This window comes from Homo sapiens, chromosome 13 (assembly GCF_000001405.40).
Source record: "Homo sapiens chromosome 13, GRCh38.p14 Primary Assembly".
Taxonomy (NCBI): domain Eukaryota; kingdom Metazoa; phylum Chordata; class Mammalia; order Primates; family Hominidae; genus Homo; species Homo sapiens.
Genome location: NC_000013.11, coordinates 110,884,778 through 110,907,188, shown reverse-complemented (window position 1 = coordinate 110,907,188; position 22,411 = coordinate 110,884,778). Strand labels below are relative to the sequence as shown.

Here is a 22,411-nt window from a genome sequence, read left to right as displayed (position 1 = left end):
AATGGCGTGAACCCGGGAGGCGGAGCTTGCAGTGAGCCGAGATCCCGCCACTGCACTCCAGCCTGGGCGACAGAGCGAGACTCCGTCTCAAAAAAAAAAAAAAAAAAAAGAAGTGTTGCTGTGGAGCCCCCAGGATTTCCCAGTCTTCATTTTCCACCGGAAAGCACTTTCTTCTCTTGATTGCTGTGTCTGATTGCCTTTCCCCTCTCTTGCTTAGCTGATAGCCTATGAAGATGGTCTTTCAGGTTGTTTCATTCATGCAGTGTAGACCTGGGTTGACTGCTGATGTTCACAGTGGCTTTCCTGGGTCTGCTCACTTTTCTCTGCCTCTGTGTGTGCTTCACCTCCCCACCGCCGCCACCCCACCCCCTCTGCACTTTCTGAACCAGGAATTTCATTCTTATGAAGCTTGGTTTGCTTTACCTTTGTGTTCTTCTCCCTTTCCTCTAATAAATACTGAAAATAGATTGGGAATATTTAGTAAATATTCCCTCTAGTAAATACTGAAAAATAGATCAACTGTTGAACCTCAAGCCATCTTGTCTAAGTTGTGGTCCCACTTCAAGTTCAAAGCAGAAGATTCAAGATCGGCATTGATGATGTTGACTCGGGTTAGCATTGGGGTAGGCACAGAGGAAAGTGGGTAGCTGAGACCATATGTCAGCTATTATGTGCTATTTCTTGGCCTTGATGACCGTTTTAATGTGTGTGTGTGGTTGGTTGGTTGGCTTGTTTGTTTGGTTACTTATTCTGGGTTTATATAAAACACACGTGCTAAGATCCAGTGTAAAGTGATTTATAAATCACTGTTGAGAGCAATCACGCTGTCACTACTGGAGAGGCCCCAAGATATTTGGTCAACGACCAAATATCTTGGCCCCTCCTGGTTCGTTCTCATCCTCCATTCACGTATAGATTTCTTTGTGTTCTGCTTCAGATCTTGCTCAACATGTTTTACTTCAAAAAAGGATGAGAAGGTCTCTGATCTGTGTTAATGACATTACTTCCAAAATGTCAGAAGTTTTGTTCTAAGTATGTGTATATTTTGCTTTTTGTTGTTTCAGGATTGTGAGGGTGAAACTCCCATTCACAAGGCAGCTCGCTCTGGGAGCCTAGAATGCATCAGTGCCCTTGTGGCGAATGGGGCTCACGTCGAGTAAGTGTCTTTCGTTTATTCTTTCCAGCTAAAGATGTAGTTGAGGATGTTTTGTTTAAAGGCAGTACATAAGCAGGCAAAAGTCCTAAAACTTTGTTTTCAAAATTAGTAATGTAATTTTGCCTTTTAGAACAGTTGGTGTTAGTGAGGAAAATTGTGTGGATTAAATTGATCTCTAGAGGAGGGGGTTTAATTTCACAGCAGCCTCAATATTCTTGTCGAGAGAGTGTATTTGAACTGAAAGAACAGTTAACTAATTAGATTTGGAACTTGGCATCATTACTTTGCCACCATTACTTTGCCACTAACTAGTTGTGTCACTGTGGTCTTTAAACTTTTCTTTGCCTAATTTTGATTTCAAAACAAGAAGCTTGGATTGGATTAAAATATCTTTTCAGACCTCTCTGGCTCAGAAGGTTTCTGAAGAAAATTCACTTTTCTAGGTTTTGATTTCCACGTCTTAGCAGATGTGAGAAAGTTATGTTTTAAAGCCCATTGTAACTTAATGGTTGATAGTTCCTTGTAAAATATGACTATTTACATTAAAGACCTCAAGCTTGCTGTAAGCTTCTGGTACTGGTGGCATTATTTTTAAATATCTTTCGTTTTAGCCCAGCTTACATCAGTTAGCTTATTTATGCTTTGATAGGACAATCTTAATGTTTACGTGTAGTCTTTTAGAAATGAGATCTTATATGCAAATCATTAGCCATGGCATTATACATTTATTTTAGTTGTTACATTTATTTGTATTAACTTTTTCTTAAAAATTTATATTATAAAAATTTTTCTTCTGCAGTTCACAGCATTAACAAAATGGATGCGGTTTTCACCCTTAAATGTTGAGTGTAAGCTATAGAGCTATAATAACCAAAATAACCAATATCAGCTTTTTTGTTTTACCTTAAGTGTTATGAATAATTCATGAAAATTAATTATAAACCACATTATTCTAATCAGAAATGTGAACATTTAGACTTCGGAGGAAATAAAACCCACAAAACTAGTTTAACCCTTTGGTTTCCATTTCATTGCTTTGACTCTGTATTATATTGAAAATAGATCCTAGACAGCAAAACCATACAGGCTAATGCACGACGTGTGTAGGTACCGGAGGCTGTCAATCATCTGTGAATAGCTTAGCTTCTGTTTTGTTAAGTTTATTGGCAAGATTCGCCATTAGTTTGGGCTGTGATCCTTATATAGTGATCTGGTATTATAAACATGGCCTCTGTTTACTGTTACATTGCAGGGACTCTCGCGACTTCATGTATAGTTGTGACTAAAGGTAATGTAGAAACAATTGATAGTATGTTTTATATACTAGTAGAACATTGAGATGATTCTCAGTGGATTGCTTTAAAGCAAAGTTATTTGTGCATTTTTCTTAGCTGTAGTTAGATTTAAAACTCTAATTTTTATAACAAACTTTCATTATAAAATACGGAGTCATAACATGATTAAATTGCTTGTCATTTATTCAAACAGTGGATAATTAGAAGTTGATATTTTTAATGACTTTCTAAATAATACTCTAATTGGTCCTGAACATTTTATTACAAAGATGTTTTATTCATTTTATGGATAGCTTAATCTTTTCAGCCAATAAATATCACGATGTCCTTTTTTTTTAGTAGGTGTCTTTTAAAAAATGAGAATCTTTTATTTACAATTCTGTCCTTGGTTACAGGGCCCTCAAGTGTCTCTTTTCCACCAGGTGTGGCTGAGATGGGCTCAGGTGCCAGTCTGTTTTTCCTTCTCAGTATAAGAGCCACCACTCAAGACCCTGCATTATGGTGACTTCCCTGGACTGAGCTTTCATATTTTTTTTAGAAGAAGTATTTAGCCTGAGCTACCTAGCCAAAAACAATTATAAGCCTTTGGCCTGGAGATAGAGCACAAGTAATCATTATTCATTGCTATTGTATATGTGGTTATTTAGTTTTAACATCGAGATAAAATGTCAGTTTTGTCAGTAAGTTAATTTGTAAGTTGCTTCTTGATTTCTGCACATTTTAATAATTTACCCCATTTAGTCCACCAACGTGTAACAGTTTGAATCTCCAAAATAATGGTACTAGGTCTATTTTATTCCCTGTAACGCTGCTCATATGGTAAAGTGTAGTCCTAGCAAATCATAACCGTTTCTTTTTTTTAAGACGTTCAAGGAGCATAGAATTAACTTATTTAAAGTTAGTTTTTTTCATTCAGAATGGACGAGATTATTAACTCTTCATATTACATGCTATAATATTTAGGAGATAATATAAATTTTTCCTTTTCCTGTGAATAGATTAAAAGCTGCCTTATATCAGTATTATTAAATTCATTTGCTCTTAATTCCTGCTTTGCTTTTTATATATCTGCTACATAAAGTGCCCAAAGTCTTAAATTGTTGTGCTTTTTTGGACATCAGGTACATAATAATAAGGGCAAGTACACTAAGTGTCTGTGGCTAGAATGGTTTGTTATATAACTTACTTGTTAATGTAGGTTGCATCTGTAAGATAACGCATTTCAGCTGCTGTGCATCGTATTAAATTTTCTAGCACCACACGTGAGTATGTTAATGGACTTTCTTTTTCTTTTCTTATTTTAAATCTTGAGTTTTGGTGCCAAGTTTTCTGTGTGTGAGGCTCTGTTTCTGGCTTATATGTTGGTCATTATTATTTGCCATTGTTTACATCTAAAAATTAAAACGCACAGGATTAAATCTAACTTGTGACCAAACTAAATGTTTGTGTACTTTAAAGGACCTAAATCTCTGTGTATGGAGTTTTCAGCAAGCACGTGAAGTTGTCACCATCCTTAATCTTGCTTATATGGTAGTTCCATTTTTCCACTGCCCCCAATATTTGAGTGCTGCTTGCTTGGTACTCAGGTATTGACTGGAAGAAGAGGATATACTATTACAAAAAGATTGTCATCTCATTTTTCTTTTGAACGATGGAACAAATAACAGCATAACATTAAGTCTTAATGTGATTTTGGAAAAAGACTTGAAAACTTGCTGTCTGCTGATAATTAAGAAGACCTTTTCACTACTAGCATTGTAAATAGAATTCGGGCCTTGGAATAGCTGTACTTTCAGTAATTTGGTACCAATTACTTTTGGCTGATTTGTGTTTATTTTCTTGAGAGATAAGTGGAGGATGTTTCCATATCAACCAGCTAGTAAAATAGCTTTTTGCCACTGAGTAGAAATAAAAAGATTTAGAATGAAACCAGCATGACTTGCATCTCAGGCAGATTTGTAGGTCCGTTTTAATACTGCATTATACGGATGCCAGTGTTTAATGGCAGAGTCTCAGAACTTTTCTACAGGAGAGGATTTCTTGAGAAGCCATTTATTCTGTGGTAACCAGATTTTCAGCTGGGCTACATGTATTTTAACTTAATTATTTTTATCTTAACTGGGATCATCAGATAGCTTGAGAAGCATCGATAGCCTTATATAAGCAAATTCAGTGACTCACTCTAGAAAAGTCTCTCTTGCCTAGTTTAGGAAGTAGGCACAGTTGGCTATAACAAAGCCTAGAATGTGATGTTAGTAGACTATTCTAATGCCACAAAGAATACTGCTTCACTTTAATTAAAAGAAATTTTAATTAAAATGGAATTGTCTTAGTTTGGATCATAATTGACCATTTATGACCCACCTTTGTTTACCATAGAGCCCTGTCTAGAAACCAGATTTTCATTAGGTCAAATACAGGTGATGAGCATATTTAATATTAGTGTTAAATTCATTTGTGACTTTTGCCCTTAGCAAAATGTAACCTAGATTTACTTTTAGCTATTCATTTTGAAATTCGTGGTTTCTTTATATTTGTTCATTTTTTTGCCCATCAGAATAATATTTCAGTTACAAAATCTACCAGAATTATGACTCTGAATTCATATTTTCTGATTTTAGGTCCTCTGAATTCTAGTCATCCTCACATCCTACTTTTGCCTCCTCTTTTTTTTTTTTTTTTTTTTTTCTAAAAAGAGACAGAGTCTCCCTTTGTCGTCCAGGCTAAAGTACAGTGGCATGATTATAGTTCACTGCAACTTCAAACTCCTGGGCTCCAGTGATCCTCCTGCCTCAGATTCTTGAGTAGCCAGGACTATAGGCACATACCACCATGCCCAACTAATTTTTAAAAATGTTTAGTAGAGATGGGGTCTTGCTGTGTTACCCAGGCTGGTCTCAAACTCCTGGGCTCAAGCAGTCCTTCCACCTTGGCCTCCCAGAGCACTGGGTTTACAGGTGTGAGCCACTGTGCAGCCTCCTTTTATCTAATTGTCCCCACAGCAGACTTGTCTGGTCTTGGCTATTTTCCGGTTGTTAAGGTGTTTCAGGATGGAGGAATCAGTTCCTGAGATAGTTATTAAGTTCTGCCTGCTAGAAAGGGACAGTAAGTGGGTTGATATCATTCTAGACTTGTTAAGAAATTGTTCAGAATTTTGATTGTTTTTCATAGCAGCTTGATTAAAATACAGATTTTAATAATTTCCTTACTACTTTTATAGGTAGTGCTTTCAAATAAAACCAGTGTTTGCTAAATCCAAATGTCTTTCTCCCTTGCTAAATTATAGCAGGAGCATGCTAAATATTTCATCAGACTACTGGAATGATGGTTTTACATTTTAATGTTTGAAAACATAATTTTGGTTCAATTGCAGTGTAAAACTATTCTCAGTAACTTTAAACTTGAAAACTTGGCACCAAATTTATTTAGGTAGAAACTCTTTAAAAATAGTTTCTTCCTATTATTAACTGAAGAATATATTTAAGAAAGTCTTCATAATTAAATAAGAGTTTGGATACCAAAGGGTTAAAAATACACATGTATTTCTTTTGCTGAAGATATCTTAGATGTTTGCTAATGTTTTATCTTTACAAATGGACAATTTAGTAATGTTTTTTATCTTTTTTTAATGATTCCATGTATTTGCTTATTTCCATCTAGGAATAGTTACTAATGTATTTGAGATACAGCATACCAAATTTTAAAGTAACCAGAATCGTGAGTTGATGGTTTTTAGTCCATACTGTTAAACTTATGTTGAAATATTGACATATTTAAATTGGCTTCATGCTAAAAAATTACCAAAGGTAATTTAAAAGGCAGTGTTTTAGAGCAGTAGCTCATGGTCAAGGTGGTCACATGACAATGGCTTAAGCTCAGTGTGCTTCTGCACCTTATGTTGTCTATGTATTTTTAATCCAAATGTTGCCTGCAAATATGTGATCCCTTATTATTTAAGTTTCCTGTATTATGAACCATTGCCCGTTTTAAATCACACAGAAGATTCTGAATCTGTAAAAACTACACATGTCAATGTTTTACAGCTACGTAATTCGAATTGACTTGATTTTTTCAAGTAATCCTAGAAAGGGGGAGCATTCCATATAGAAACTGCTGAAACTGCCACAGGTGCTTCTCCGAAAACCTTACAGTTGTGGCATTGAATGTTCAGTATCGCTTCCTTTCTGCACACGAGGCATACTGTTGAGGTATTTGTTGCGGTGATTGGTTTTAACGCTAATCTAGGAATTCAGATAGAGATGCTTTAGATTTGCATGCTTTGCTTACCTAATTTATGATATCTACCTTTCTATTTGTAAACTAACAATAGCTAAGTTGAGATCAGAATTTTAACAGAAATATTATTTATATAAAAATTGTTATCTTTTATTGTCACATGGCATTAACAATAAGAAAACATCCTGAAGGTGATGTGACAACTCGGATTCTAAAAATTATACTTCAGGTATTTCCTGATCCGTGGTTTTTCAAAATTGAAACAAAGTCGTTCTCATCAGAATGGCTTCTCCTTTGTTCTGGAATTGTGGCACTATAAGTGGAAACTGGTGGGACCCTGGCTGGCTTCAGAGTGGAGCCTAATTTTTAAAGTTCTTTAGGGGAGAATTCTTAGATATAAATTTTAGTGAAAGTTCTTTGGGGGAGAATTCTTAGATATAAATTTGAGTGTTTGAAGAGACAGGGTCTTCCTGTGTTGCCTAGGCTGGTCTCAAACTTCTGGCCTCAAGTGATCCTCCTGCTTCTGCCTCCCAAAGCGCCAGGATTATAGGGTTGAGCCACTGTGCTTGGCTTAGAGGTAATAAATTTTAATATTCTATTCAGAATAAGAAAATATAGCATATAAGCATTTGTATCTTTAGTAAAGTTACTGCCAGTTTGATTTTTTTTTTTTGCAAGTTACTTAGCAGAACATGTAATTCACAGTAAAGATGATTCTGTGTTGTACCACATTTTAATATTCCTGTTTTGAAAGAATAGTAGAGAGAAAATGGGTGGCCTGCTCAGTGATTGCTTTTCGTAGTCTTGGTGAATGTTACAGGAGATTGAATTTATAGATAAAAGCACAGTCATCGTAGTTTCCACAGTACATTGCAGCACATTTAGCTTGCTAGCCTAAAAATCTGATCATGCTGAGTTTCTTTTAAAGAAAGTTAATTTTAGAACTTCAAACTAGAACCAGTTTGAACCTCAAGTTGACCGTTGTCTGAGTTTTAAAAATCTCTTCCCATTTTCAAAGATTTTTCAAATGGATGTAGGAGAGGACCAAGGAGGTAGGCTATAGCTGTAGAACAACACAGTCCTATTTTCAGAAACGAACAGACACACGTTTTAGGTCAGGCACAGCCCATGTATCCAGGTGCATCAAACTGGGGATGCTAAGTTCAAAAGTGCGTCTGTTTTGAAGATTTCATCTGAAAATAATGTGTACACTTTCATTACTACCAGTTTGCATTCAAAATAGTTTTTGAGACTCTTTAAACTCTTCTGGATACTTTAATTTTCCCTTTGGAATAGTGTGTAAACACAGTCCGGATGAACTTTACTACTGATACCTCACTTGAGGTTGACAGGAGTGGCCAGCAGTTAGTGCCTATGGTCATGTAATACACTAAGTCAATACCTGTGGAGTGAAATCCGGTCTCTATAAAAAATACAAAAAAAATGGCTGGACGCAGTGGCTCTCGCCTGTAATCCCAGCACTTTGGGAGGCTGAGGTGGGTGGGTCATCTGAGGTCAGGAGTTCAAGACCAGCCTGGCCAACATGGTGAAACCCCGTCTCTACTAAAAATACAAAAAATTAGCTGGGTGTGGTGGTGGGCGCTTGTAATACCAGCTACTCGGGAGGCTGAAGCAGGAGAATCTCTTGAACCTGGGAGGCAGAGGTTGCGGTGAGCCGAGATCACGCCATTGCACTCCAGCCTAGGCAACAAGAGTGAAACTCCGTCTCAAAAAAAAAAAAAAAAAAAAAAGAAAAGAAAAACTAGTTGGGTATGGTGTTGTGTACCTGTGGTCCCAGCTACTCAGGAGGCTGAAGTGGGAGGAGCACCTGAGCCCAGGAGGTAGACGAGGCTACAGTGAGCTGTGATTGCACCACTGCACTCCAGCCTGGGTGATGGGAGTGAGACCCTGTTTAAAACAAACAGACAAAAAAACCTGTGGATTGAAGGGTAAAGGATGGAGTATTTAAAAAGTACTGTGACAGAACAAAGTACTGTAAGTACTAGAGTTGAGTGTGGATGGAAACACAGAACCTGTAAATCAAGTGTTTCATTTACGTGCTCAACTCCTACTGAATTTTAGCAATTAAAACATGAAAACTGAAATATTGGTTAACAAATGAAAATAGAATTTAAAGACCTGAACTTCTTTTATGATCTTTAATGATTATTTGTTCTAATCTTTGACTTGGAAACCCAAATTATTTTCAGTCTAACGTACTTGAAATTTAACTATTAAAAAAGTTGGAGGAACTCAAACTTTGAAGTTAGGGCTCCCTTTCTCCAGATAAAGCACATTGCCTGGTTTATTGTAAGGCACTTAGAACATGTAACCAAAAACACTCAATTTAGGAATAGGAATGATTGTTTTACAGCTAAGTGCGCTCTCAGAGTCTTTTGTTTTACACCCCTCTCAAGTTTACCTTTAGATATTTTTCTTGTTGTTTAATATTTTGTGACAGATTTGGCAACTTTTAAAAAGTTGTTTGAATTGAATAGTGCATAAAATTAATAGATGTTTTTCAGAAAATCCATTATTAAGAGTAGAGGAATGAGGAGAAATATTCGTTCTAAAGAGAATCAAAACCACAATGAGAGATTGTCTTACCCCCGTTAGAATGACAGTTACCAAAAGACAGTAACAAATGCTGACGAGAATGCAGAGGCAAAGGAACGTTTAAACACTGTTAGTGGGAATGTAGACTTGTACAACCGTTATGGAGAAGAGTATGGAGGTTCCTGAACAAACTAAAAATAGAACTACCATATGATTCAGCAGTCCCACTACTGGGTATATATCCAAAAGAAAATCCATATATGGAGACATCTGCACCTGCCATGCTCGTTCCAGCACTATTCACAGTACCCAAGATTGGAATCAACCTGTGTCTATCAGCAAATGAACAGATAAAATGTGGTATATATACCCCGTGGAATACTATTTGGCCATTAAAAAAACAAAATTCTGTTATTCTCAGCAACATGTATGATCTTAGAAGACATTATGTTAAGTAAGCCAGGCACAGAAAGATAAATACTCCATGTACTGTACTTATGTGGAAGGTAAAAAAGATCTCATAGAAGTAGAGAGTGGCTCATGCCTCTAATCTCGGTGCTTTAGGAGTCTGAGGTGGGAGGATCACTTGAGGCCTGGAGTTTGAGACCAGCCTGAGCAACATCTCTCAAAATTAAAAAAAAAAAAAAAAAAGTAGCCAGGCATGGTAGCACATGCCTGTATACCTAGCTACTTGGGAGGCTGAGGCTAAGGAGGATCCCTTAGCCCAGGAGTTCCAGGGTGTGGTGAACTATGATTGTGCCACTGCACTCCAGCTGGGGCAACAGGGAGATACTCTGTCTCTTTAAAAAACAGTGGTTACTAGATGGAAAGATAAATTCTAGTGTTACCTTGCACTGTAGGGTGACTAACAGTAATTTTTTATTTTTTTTGTATGGCTAATTCAGTACAAATGGAAAGTGTTTGAGGTGATGCATATGCAATTATGCTGGTTTTTTTTAATCCCTATACATTGTATTGGAATTTACAATGTACCCCATAATAAAGGATAGAGGAATATTTACAGTATCATCTATTTGGTTAAATGTTATTCAGCAGTTCTGGCCTGCTGCCTTTTTTTGTATAACCTATGGCCCAAGAATGGTTTCTACATTTTTTAATAGTTGAGCAAAAATCAATAGAATAATATTTTCTAATACATAAAATTAGATGAAATTTCAGTTTCAGTGTTCATAAATAAAGCTTTATGAGAGCCATGCTCAATTGCCTTGAGGCTGCTTTCAGCCTACAACAAAAGAATTGAGTAGTTAGGACTGAGAATGTATGGTCTCCAAAGTCTAAAATAATTACTACATAGTCCTTTTTAGAAAAGTGCCTTCTGGATTAGATGATCCTTAATGATCATTTCAGGCCAATTTCTATAATGTGCACTACACAGTTGAGTGACCACTTGCAAGATTTTTAATGTGAGCAGGGATAGTAGAGATGATGAATGTAGGTAAGGAGAGGAAATGAGAATGAGGACTTTCAGGGGCAAGAGATGGTGGTGTCATTTTGTGTTGTGTTCCTGAGTCAGGTACCAACAGATTTCCTCTGAGTAGAATATAAATGCTAACAAATTAAACTGTATGTTGTATACATTCAGCCCTTGGTAACAAGGAAAATGATAGAATTGAAATGTTCTTGTACCTCACTAGAAGCAGAGAAAGGGTGCTGGATATTTCTGTTTCCGATAATGCTGCATAGATAGTGCCACTTAAATGTAGAGCAAAATTACAGTCTCCTCTAAGTAATTCCTCCAGTTACCATGTGTCCTAGATTCCGATACCTGTCCAATACAATTTCTAGAACTTTTTCACCTCCCCATCATGTCTGCCTTCTAGTGCCCCAAAATTATGTGAGATGCTAGAAGTTGTTTGACCTGTGATTGTTCTTGCTTCCTTGGTCCTTACGTACGAGTACATAGCATGATTGGGCCAGAATCCGTCTTTTGAGCTCTTCTAGTAAAGTAAGTTTTGAGATAATACCTAAGACCACATGGAAATTTGGTTGGTCTAAGTAGAGGACAAGCACGTATTTAACTACCTTTGGCAGGGGAAAAAGTGAAGTGGGAGAGCTTACCAGTGCTACCTATGTGTAGGCTGACACTCTGAAACTTCAGTCTCCAGGAATCTCCATATGTTGGCACTATTTTGTTGATTATTTTTCTATAAGGTTATATTTCTTTGGAAGATCAGTAAACTTGCTGTTCTAACCCAAATTCAGTGTAGTCTTCAGCTTCTGAATAAGGAATAAAGGAATCGAATGTGCTTTGGATGTTCTTTTAACAATTTCAGAATGTTGGCATGCCCTTTGAGCATCTAAACTTCCCTCAGCGAATTGGTATTTATTTATTTATTTAGAGATAGAATCTTGCTCTGTTGCCCAGGCTGGAGTGCAGTGGTGTGATCTCGGCTCACTGCAGCCTCTGCCTCCCAGGTTCAAGCGATTCTCCTGCCTCAGCCTCCCAAGTAGCAGGGACTATAGGCATGTGCCACCACCACACTCCGCTAATTTTTTGTATTTTTAGTAGAGCCAGGGTTTCATCATGTAAGCCAAGCTGGTCTCAAAGCTCCTGACCTCAGGTGATCCACCCGCTTTGGCCTCCCAAAGTGCTGGGATTACAGGCGTGAGCCACCGTGCCCAGCATGGTATTTATGATTCTAAGTGCCATTTCAAAAATCTGTTTGCTCTTTTTTATTCTCTGGTCCACTAAAGAGTAATCTTTACTGTGGGCTTTATTTCATATTTTTATTTGTCCTAATACTAAGTGGTAGCTTCTCATTTCTCTGTTTCTTGATTTTGGAGAGCAAGTCTATGCTTATCTATAGAAATAATCAGTTTGTAAACTTATGTTCTCCTTGAAGAGTTTTTGAATTTTCATGTGGCAACTTATTTTTCTGTTCACATTCTTGACAGAATAGACCCTCCCAGGTCATCTGCACTTCTGATATCTTTTGAAAGTGAAATATACCATTAAAAAAAAGTCCAGCTATATGATGAAGCTGTCACGTAATATTAGTATATTTTCTATTTCAATAACAAGGTGATCTGATTTTGTACAAAGTATAATTAATGTAATACAATCTGCCCAAACTTTGGTGCTTCCTTTTCATTTAATTCATATATCAAAATAAAAATATTATGCAATACTAGAAAATACTCATGGCCATTCATAGCCATGCAGTCTTAATAAGGCTAATAAAAATAGTGACTTTAGTCTGTAATAGTCCTGCACATAGCCGCCTTATATTTTTAAGAATTTTGTTGGTTTCTGAGATTCTCAATTCTCTTTTATCTCTGATCAGATAGGATTTGGGTCTTTTTTCAAAAGGTGTAATGCATTTATCTTATGCTTTAAAAAGTAGAGACGCTTAGCTAGTGTCCATGCACACTTCTCATTTCCAAGGTCAGAGCTCTATGATGTCTGCAAATAACGAATACAAGGCTATTGTCAGTCCTTATAAATAAGAAAATATTATTTGTCCCTAATTCTGTAGTTTTCACTCTCAAATGCGGGGTTTTTTTTTTTTTTTTTTTTTTTTGCATTAACAGTAACCCCAAGAAAGGCATCAGGGTTCTGGAGTGGTTGTTTGAGTGACACAGCACAAGGCCTTGATTTCATCATGCTTTTGCTGTGGATGTAGTGTAGCTTGCTGAACAGGTATGGAAGCTGTCTTTGCTGTTAAGTACTTCTCCCGTTTGTTTATCAACCTGCAGCTAACAGGATGTCTGCTTTTTTACAGGTTTATTTCACAGAGCAGTGTACATTCTTGTCTTCCAGGGGAACTTCAACATGGAGTTACTTTTGATCCCTCAGTTTTAATTCAGTGTCTAAAGGTTTACAAGTTCAACTTACTCTATTTTATTCAGCTCTTTCACTTACTCTGCCATCACTTCCTACTTGAATCTGAGTTTTAGCTACTGTAGAGGTCTCAGACCTTTCCTTTTTAGTACTATTAGCCAGGTAAAACTTTGGTTCTTGTGAGTGGTAGGGATGAGTTTTTAGGACAGTATTCAAAGCCTTTTTAAAGGAACCAACTACTCAAATGCTCTACAATGCCAAAAATACAATACTCCTGCAGGTTTTCCCAAGCAAGGCCAAAACAATCAAAATCTGACAGAAAAACACAGCTGTTCAGCTCTGGAATCTGATGATAGGCTACTTTTTAATGTCAGGACATCCTTCTAAACTTCCACTTACAGTGTCACATGTAAGCATGAAGGCTGGCTCGTTGGTGAGCCATTGCTTTGTTTTTAGGAAGACAGTTATGAATGCCATGGACAATCTCAGTACATGTTGTTTGTTATGATTTTATTCACGCTAAAGGAATGGGTATTAAAATTAAGTGCATATAATATAGAATTCAGTTTCAAGTCTGAAGTTAGCGTAAATTTAGATTCTTCAGACTAACATAAAACATGATTTTGAGAAGTTAAATAGGAAGATGCCTTTTTTAGAAGTTTAGCATATTTAGTTTATCTCCCAAATCTTGCTTAGAAATCAAATGTATATAAGAGAAGTTAGTTACAGAGCTAGATTGATTAACTACTTCTTTAATGAAGATTTGCTATGAATTTGTTTACTCTTTCATACCACCTTCAGATAGCTAGTCAGTTCAGCAGGAGCAGAGACCAGGTTAGCACGCGGATGGGGTGTAATTCAGTGTTTTTGTGTTGTACAGCCTGAGAAATGCCAGTGGCCTGACAGCAGCAGACATTGCACAAACCCAGGGTTTCCAAGAGTGTGCCCAGTTTCTCTTGAACCTCCAGAATTGTCATCTGAACCATTTCTATAACAATGGCATCTTAAATGGGGGTCATCAGAATGTATTTCCTAATCATATTAGTGTGGGAACAAATCGAAAGAGATGCTTGGAAGACTCAGAAGACTTTGGAGTAAAGAAAGCTAGAACTGAAGGTGAGACCGCTTTGCGGGTGGGAAGAGCACACTTATTTTTCCTTTCTGTAATATGTTTTCTTTTTATGGCTGAGCGCACCTTCGAGATGAGACCTTCACTTCAGGTGGTAATGCGCCTGGTGGATTGTGCGGTGACGGTGGAGATTTCTCCTGTACTGCCACTGCGAAGATGGGACTTAACAAAAGGGAATGTGAGGGAAATACTGATGGCCCAAGTGTAAATGTCTATGTGGAACTTTTTGAGCACCCATGTTTACCTGCCATGAATTAGATTTTTTAATTTGTTGTATCTGTTTGAAATATATCTATTAAAGAAAATCTGCCACTGTGCCTGAATTTTTTTTTTTTTTTAATTTGCTTCTTGTAAATGTTCCTGGGCTTATAAAAATTGCTGATGGTCTGGCAGTAAAACATTTTCACATTCGGGAAGGTGAATGTTTTCTGTACTATTTCTGTACTATGATTTGACCTCAGTGGTCTCTGTACCTCACATGTGTGTTGACTTATCACAGCAAGATCTGGTGTATAATTTGATCTTGAGGATTTAAGTCCCTAAGGTAAGTTATTTTCGTTGTAAGTATTCTCCCACCATTTTTTTTTTTTTTTTTTTTGCTCTGTCACCCAGGCTGGAGTGCAATGCTGTGATCTCGGCTCACTGCAACCTCCGGCTCCCAAGTTAAAGCAATTCTCCTGTCTCAGCCTCCCAAGTAGCTGGGATTACAGGTGCATGCTATCACACTGGGCTAATTTGTATTTTTAGTAGAGAAGGGGCTTCACCATGTTGGCCAGGCTGGTCTTGAACTCCTGGCCTCCAGTAAGCCACCTGCCTCGGCCTCCCAAAGTGCTGGGATTACAGGCATGAGCCACTGTGCCTAGCCGTTTTTTGGGTTTTTTGTTTTTTGTTTTTAAGGTAGGTTTGAGTTTGCAAATAAGCAGTCAGCCAGTCACTCTTGAAGTTGAAAACATCTCCCTTTCCTATAGGAAAATCATCTATATCTATATATAAGATGTCTTAGGCCAGTTGTCATGGCTCATACCTGTAATCCCAGCACTTTGGGAGGCTGAGGCAGGAGGATTACTTGAGCTCAGGAGTTCGAGACCAGCCTGGGCAACATAGTGAGACCTTGTCTCTATTTAAAAAAAAAAAAAAAAAAAAGTCTTAATAAGAAGGTAAATGTGATAGCTTGGCAGGCATATTTAGTGAACTTAGGGGGAGAGGTGGGAGTGTGAAGTAATGAAGCAGATTATGAGCTCAGATTTGCTGAGTATAAGCACAAAGTTTTGCCCGTTGGTTTAAAAAAATCAACCGTGCAAGTTACAGCATAAGGAAAACTGAGTGACTATCAGTTAATCACTTAAAAATCTAGAGATTTTGGTTAAATTTCATGAACCAACATCATCTTTTCTACCTTATTTAATGAGTGTGTCCAAGTGAAACATTTTTTCCCTATAAAGTTGATAAAATGTCAGTATTATGTACTTCACAACTATATCTTGTCACCATAAAAATTCCTGTGATAAGACTTTTTATAGTAATGTATGAACTTAACAGTTTTATCAAATTCAAGATTTTTATGAGTTAAGCATTTCTGGAAAGATGCTAAAATCATAAGCATGACATGAAGATCTGCATAAAATTCAAAATGGTCTTTTTTAATGGTGATGTATTCAGCATTGTCATTTATTTGTACCATGTTTTAATATATTTTTTCTAATGTAGTTTCAACGCCTTTTTAAGAGCATCCACTTTTTAAAAAAATCCTTTGTCATTTCCTTTAATTAAAGCCTGGTTAGTATTGTAGAGTGGCCTCATGCCCTCATGCACGAATTGTACATGTCTGTCCCTGTATGTCACTGTATAGTCTAAATGTCCTTGAAAAATGATTTATGCTTCATTTTCTCTTATTGCTGATAAATCTTAAATTCTGTTTAGTATTTTTAAAAAGAGATCACTTAACATGCTAATTGGACTCAAAATGCACCTAGAAGAGTTCGTAAAACTAGTCTCAGAGTTTCTAAGGTCAGTTGAATTGGCCAATACCACATTGCTTAATTACCCTGAAAAGCATTTCTGAGGATTCCTTGTTTCCTAATCCTCGTTAACTACATAAATTTGGTTTAAAGAGTCCTGCTGACTTTGGGGGTTTTATTTTCTTCCTTTAGAAGGAGGATTTGTTTTGGTTGACCAGTGATTAGAAGTTCACATTTTGCACATTAAACTCACCATGCAGCCTTCCCAAACTATACATTCCTGGTCCCAAGCCCGAGGGTGCTAATTTAGACAAAAATATGGTTGGAGCCGGCACTTCTGCTTAAGTGTTGCAGGTAATACGTAGACCTAACAGGTTGAGCCACTGTTGCAGGTACACAGTACATGACTGATGTTTCTGTGATTATCACAGTTGAAATATTTCAGCCAAGATGCACATTACTTCAAAGCTGCTCATCCTTGGTTTTCCTAATTTGTATACTGACCATGACTTTACTAATTTCCTGGAACTTCTGATGGTTCTGTCTTTTATGTAGTTGACAGTCCTTAGATTTGCCACACTCGTCACAAGAGTGTGTTTATATTTTTTTGTGTCTGTGTGAGCATAGATGGGCATCTTTAGCTCACCTGCACTCCCACCACTCGTTTCCCTATGGGAAAAGGTGATTTTTTGCCCCCCTTTTACCATTACATACTGAGAGTGCTGATGTCGGGTATTGGGAGTCATTCTTGGTCATTAAAACAGGATTTTTTTTTCTGCCAATTACCTGAATGTTCTACATGAAATTGTTCTTGGTTTCAATAGATATATAATTATTTCCATATTAACTGACCAGTTTTTTAGTTTTGAATTAAAGATATGTTGCTTTAGTTTTCGTTGTAATTTCTGGCATCTTGTTTTGATTTTGTTTAAATGTGTGTTTTAAGTTTTGCTTAATCTGAATTATTTTATTAGGTTTTTGGTTCTCATGCCAGAGTAAAAGAAATGATAAATTCTTTTTTCCTCATTTAACACATGTATATAAAATACTTTGAGTAACTTCACATATAAAAATATTTAGAAGAGTTTAAGCTGGGTTTTTTGTTTTGTTTGGCTTTAAAAACAAAAAAAGTTACAGGTGCCAGGGATAATATCTTGGCTGCGTAACTTGTATCTTACCAATAAAACTTAGTGCGTTCTGTTTTCCTAGAATTTAAGAGTTACAAATATTGATGCTTTTAGTGTGGAATTTATATTTACAAAAGTAATTACTTCCAGAAAGTTTTCTGGCTAAGTCACCTCTTAAGGAGATCCCTGTAAAATTCACCCTTTAAAAAAGAAAAAGAAAAAGCCAAAACACTTTGGAATCCTGAGTCTGAATGTTAACCATTCTTCCCCACAAAAAGTAGTGTCTGCTTTTAGTAAACTACTTTCAAGTATTTTAAATTGGAGGAATTTTCTTTTGGAAGCTGTTGATGTAAAAGATCTTAAGTGAAGAAGAAAGACTTGGCCTTTTGTATTGCTTGAATATTAACTGTCTTGGAAGGAAGTTATGCTACAAGAAGTCATACTTTCATAAAATTATTTGCATCTGTGTCAAATGCAGTTTAGTCAGAACGTAAGACATAATAGGTGTGGACATGAACTCTGGAGTGTGAAATAAAATCCACAGTTACTTAAGCAGTCTGTTTTGATGGAAAGTATCTTGGGATAATACTTTCCTCAGTGTGGGATTTTGTTCATTTTAGATGGTGCAAGGAAGTATCAGTCTTTAATTTTTTTGTTGTTGTTTTTATCAATCATTTGCTCTGATGGTATGATGCATGGGCTTCAGGACTCCAGCTGCACCACTGTATAAAACTCAGTTCAGGTTTGCTAGCGTTCTTGGTTAATCTTCAGGAATAACCCAATACAATTATTTTTATATGTACTCCTTGGAAACTGTGGTCGTTTTTCAATGATCTTGGTTAGAAAAGAATGCCAGTCCCTTCCATGAGTGAAAACTTGATTTTGCTGATTGATAATTGTTTTGGATGGAGCTCTAGAGTCGTGGGGAAGAAGCAGGGGAACACAGTGAGTTTAAAAACTGACCCAATAACTTCAATTTCACAATTGGGACATTTGCCCCAGAAGTAGGCTGTGGTGACAGCAGATCTCAAGTGTCAAACTGACTTCACAGCTCGGTCTTAATCACATAGGCATATTACTGATCTTAGAATCTCATTCATACTGTGAAGGTATTGAATATAAAAACACCTTACAGAAAAAAGTATCTACAACATGATGATTTAAAGGTAAAATTACCGGTGGAAAGTTTTAACACTTTCCCAGAGTGGATTTAACCTGGATAAAGGATCTCTGCCTTTTGTCCTTAGCTGTTCGTGTTGAGCAGGGTTAAAGACTTGGTAAAGGAGGGCAGATATGACCAGCTGGTTTGTTAAATGATAGATGTTTATTGCTTGAAACTTGAGAGGAAATAAAATGCCTCCCAGGAGTAAATTTGTAATTTAGTTCCTTCTAGTTTAGTTACATATTATAGCACTTTAACTCCTGACGTCCTCACTGTTTTCAAATTTGCAGTATATTTGTTTATAAAAATGTGGCCAGGATGATAGAACACACCTACCTAATTGTGTTCAAATAAGGAGTGATTGTTTTTTCTTGATCCCTGAAGATGTGACGTCTTGAAATACAGTCTGAATTACACTTCCAGTCCAGACAGTGTCTGCGTTTTCCACTGTTAAAAGTCTCCATTTGAGCAAACCTCATGGGCCTGAGTTGTCCTCAGCACAGTTGTGGACACTCCAGTGGGAAGCAAAACGAAGACTGGCACACTTGATCACAAGCCGCTTTTGTATTATTTGAGCCAAACCCCCAGTCCCCCCCGGTCTTTCCAGAGCACTCAGTTCCCTTCTCTGTCCTTTGTCGCTGCTGCTTCCTGCTGCCTGGAGTCATCCCAACCCTCTGCACTGCTGGAATCTGGGCCCTGGCGGGTCCCGCGAAAGGTCACCTCATAATAGAAAAACAATTTGGTTTTAACAGGACCTTAAAAAGTTGAGTAAAATGTGCTCTACAGCAGAACAAAGAATAGTTCCAGGTAATGGCTGGTGGGAAACCAGGAAGGCAGAGTGTCTTTCCTTGCTGCCTTAATGAGAGGACATTGAGGCTTCCCCAGTGGAAGCAGCAGCAGGATGCACTCAGTTCAGTGGAAAGGCCACAGGCGGGAGGGGTCCTGGGCCATTTGGCCACCTCTCAAGGGTTATGGGTCAACACCTGGGACCCTTCCACACAGCACCTAGAGGCACAGTAAAAGGTAGATGACTAATCTAGGTCAGGATCTCAAGCTTTGCCTAAGTTCATTGGGTGAAACTACTTGGCAGTTTCTGACTTGTAAAATGTCTCCTGATTTAGTCTTGGGGAATATAACCAGTATGGCTTGGGTCTTGGGAGTAATGTCCTGCTGGCTGATTGGAGCACTTCATATCCCAAAGTATGACTTTATAGAGTGCTTTTTGGTTTTTTATGTAAAGATTAAAGTTGTGATCAGGCATTTTTCCTAAGCCTTACATGTATCTGCAGGCATGCCTGGCAATTACAGTCCTGTTTTCCTGTGTGTCAGTATGAGTGGTGCACTGGAGTGTCTTCACTCCACCTGGTCAGCACTCCCATAAGCCTCTGTAGTGGCACGACCTTGGTGTCCAATTGCATTACTTCTGTAATGCAGCAGACCTTCCCGGACTTGAAACTAAGACTTTTTTCATGGTTTCAAGCTGCTTGATCCTGAATAGCTCATACAGTTACAGAGTTACTGGGAACTGGCTTTAGGGGTTTTGTGCAACCCCCAAATTTCAGATGAAAATACAAATGCAGACCGTTTAGTTGCCCTGGGCATCAGCCCCAAGTGGAGCATCTCTGTGTGTCCCCCAGGGTCAGGAATGTGGGTTTCTCAGCCAGAGGCGTGCTCTACTGGCTCTAGTTCTCACTTAGGAGGGCAGGCAGTGACCACACCTGGCTTGTGGCTGTATCTCTGAGCAGGGAGGCTGGAGGTTTTGAGCTAGTCCTAGATAGGTTTCCATCCTGAACGTTGTGTCTCAGGTGTACTAGAAGCCTGTCTTCCCAACAGACACCTGACACCTGCTTTTACAGTCAGCAGGTGAAGACCCTTTGAAAAAAGTGGTCATACTAACATTTTCAGAAGCATTCAATCATTGTGTAACTTTAAGAATCAATATTAAGATAGGAAAGTATAGTGCTTCCTTTCCCAAACTGAGTAAACTGATGACCTTGGAAGACATGTTTTTCTGAAATGTCTGTACAGGCCACCCTTCTCAAATGCAAGGTGTAATTAAATGATTCCTTCAGCAATGGCAACAGGTGTGGGGGAAAATGCCACAGGTGGTAGGGTCTTACAGGTCCAAATCCAATGTTCTTAAAATTTTGAGAGGCCAGTTTTAATTTCATGGCTTACAACATAATTAAAAGAGATAATTGCGGGCTTAATATCTCTACCAGCCAATTAACTTATGTATAGCTACTAGGAATGAAGAAGGTGGCACTCGTGAAACAGCATTATCCAAGGCTCTGTGACAGCTGGTTGTGGGAACTACACCGTATAGAGAGGCTGTATCTATGGAGATGGAATGAAATTCTAAGGTTCTGTTGGAATGATTCCCACAATAGAATCTTGATTGGTAAAATATGGAAGCCTTTCATTCTTATCCTGCTTTATTAGAGAAACCATCTGCATTAACAAAAGATGCATCTACTCAATGGAGCAGTTTCTGAGAGGTCCCTGGTCACTGTGAGCCTTATAGTTACAGGATTAATTGTTGCTGGGAGACTAGTGTGTTTCCCGCTGCCTCTTCCCTGGGCTGCCCTTAACGCGGCTCTTCCGGCCCCTAGTGGCACCTCTGCCTTCAGGGTGCATGTCCCTGCACCTCGCATGGCCAGGCCTGCCTGGATGGTTGTGACTCCTCAGGTTGTATTACAGGCTATGCCAGCTACTGATCATTTGTTTTTGTTTACCTTGTGTTTTTGTTTCTCCTGGCTAGTGGGTGGGCTTCATCTGCTGATGTGAGTACTATTCTAGGTACTGGGCCTAGTGAAGGAGAAGACAAACACCCCAGCTTTCGTGAAGCTCTTCTCTGTTGCGGTTTTCTAACCTGCTTTTCAGAGGTGTGAAATTGCAGGTAACCCCTAGTTGCCACTTTATCCGGGGAACATTGGCATCTGAACGCCAATTGAGTGTGTAGGTATTTTAAGCTGTCTGCATTGTATTCCCATCAAAGTCCACTCTTTTGTACAAACCGTGTTCGTGTGTGGCTTTGCAGGATTGCAGCCTGTGGGAGGAGCAAACGTTGACCCGCTCTTGGCTGCAGGTTCTCTGTGTCTGCGTGCCATGAAGGCTCCTGGAGGTTGAGACGACTTTGGCACACTTGGGGGATCTGCTCTTCCACCACCCCCCTCTCCCATTCTTTTTTCTTTTTCTTTCTTTCTTTTTTTCTTTTTTTTTAGATGGAGTCTCGCTCTGTCACCAGGCTGGAGGGCAGTGGCGCAATCTCTGTTCAATGCAACCTCCGCCTCCTGGGTTCTAGTGATTCTCCTGCCTCAGCCTCCCCAGTAGCTGGGACTACAGGCACTCGCCACCACGCCTGGCTAATGTTTGTATTTTTAGTAGTATTTATTCAGCATGTTGGCCAGGACGGTCTCGATCTCTTGACCTCGTGATCCACCCGCCTCGGCCTCCCAAAGTGCTGGGATTACAGGCATGAGCCACCATGCCCAGCCCTTTTTTTTTTCTCTCTCTTTTTTTCAAAAGATGCCCTGCTTACACACTGATCTCTTAAAAGTGCATGCCTGAGTCATAGTGAAAGTGGAGCCTGGCCTGTGGAAGATTTTTTAAAGCTTTGAATGGATAAGACTAAAATCCACCATTGAATGCCTCTGGTCTTAAAGCACTTGTATTTGAAGAATGCTTTTGGCCTCCTACCTAATCAGACTTCTGACTACCCCCCATCCCCCCAACTACACAAATCACACTGTTCTGTTTCTCTCCCCCATACTAATTTCAGAAATCGGGTTTCTCATTCTGTACATTAGCATCTTTGTAGAATAATCCAGATATCATATATACAGTATAATCAAAAATGACTCGTGGGCCTCTAAAACTAGAGCTAATTCAAGCTGCAAAGTTCCATTCTCCCTATTTTTAAATGTTTATATGAAGGAGGTATTTAGCACTGAAAGTTGCTATTTGTGGTGTATATTCTTTGGCCCAGAA

The 22,411-nt window shown here is 38.2% G+C and overlaps 1 protein-coding gene across 9 annotated transcripts in view, besides 1 other annotated feature; it reads left to right on the top strand.

Annotated features, from left to right (window-relative positions):
• The window catches only part of ANKRD10 (ankyrin repeat domain 10), a 36,530-nt gene that overhangs the window by 7,881 nt on the left and 6,238 nt on the right, over window positions 1–22,411 (top strand). For 2 of the 9 annotated variants that reach the window (NM_017664.4, XM_024449380.2), the window contains exons 3-4: window positions 1,065–1,156; window positions 13,926–14,161. In NM_017664.4, the coding sequence (NP_060134.2) occupies window positions 1,065–1,156; window positions 13,926–14,161 (328 nt within the window). Of the gene's footprint in view, window positions 1–1,064; window positions 1,157–3,649; window positions 5,138–6,494; window positions 7,236–12,795; window positions 14,498–22,411 lie in introns of those variants that run through there. The other 7 variants (NR_104587.2, NR_104586.3, XR_007063690.1 and 4 more) reach the window with 7 other exon arrangements.
• Window positions 260–761: an enhancer, noted in NCBI's record as "H3K27ac hESC enhancer chr13:111558775-111559276 (GRCh37/hg19 assembly coordinates)". NCBI's record gives its function as "activates a minimal SCP1, AML or CMV promoter by ChIP-STARR-seq in naive H9 embryonic stem cells {active_cell/tissue: H9 hESC(naive)}" and the evidence as "EXISTENCE:reporter gene assay evidence [ECO:0000049][PMID:30033119]".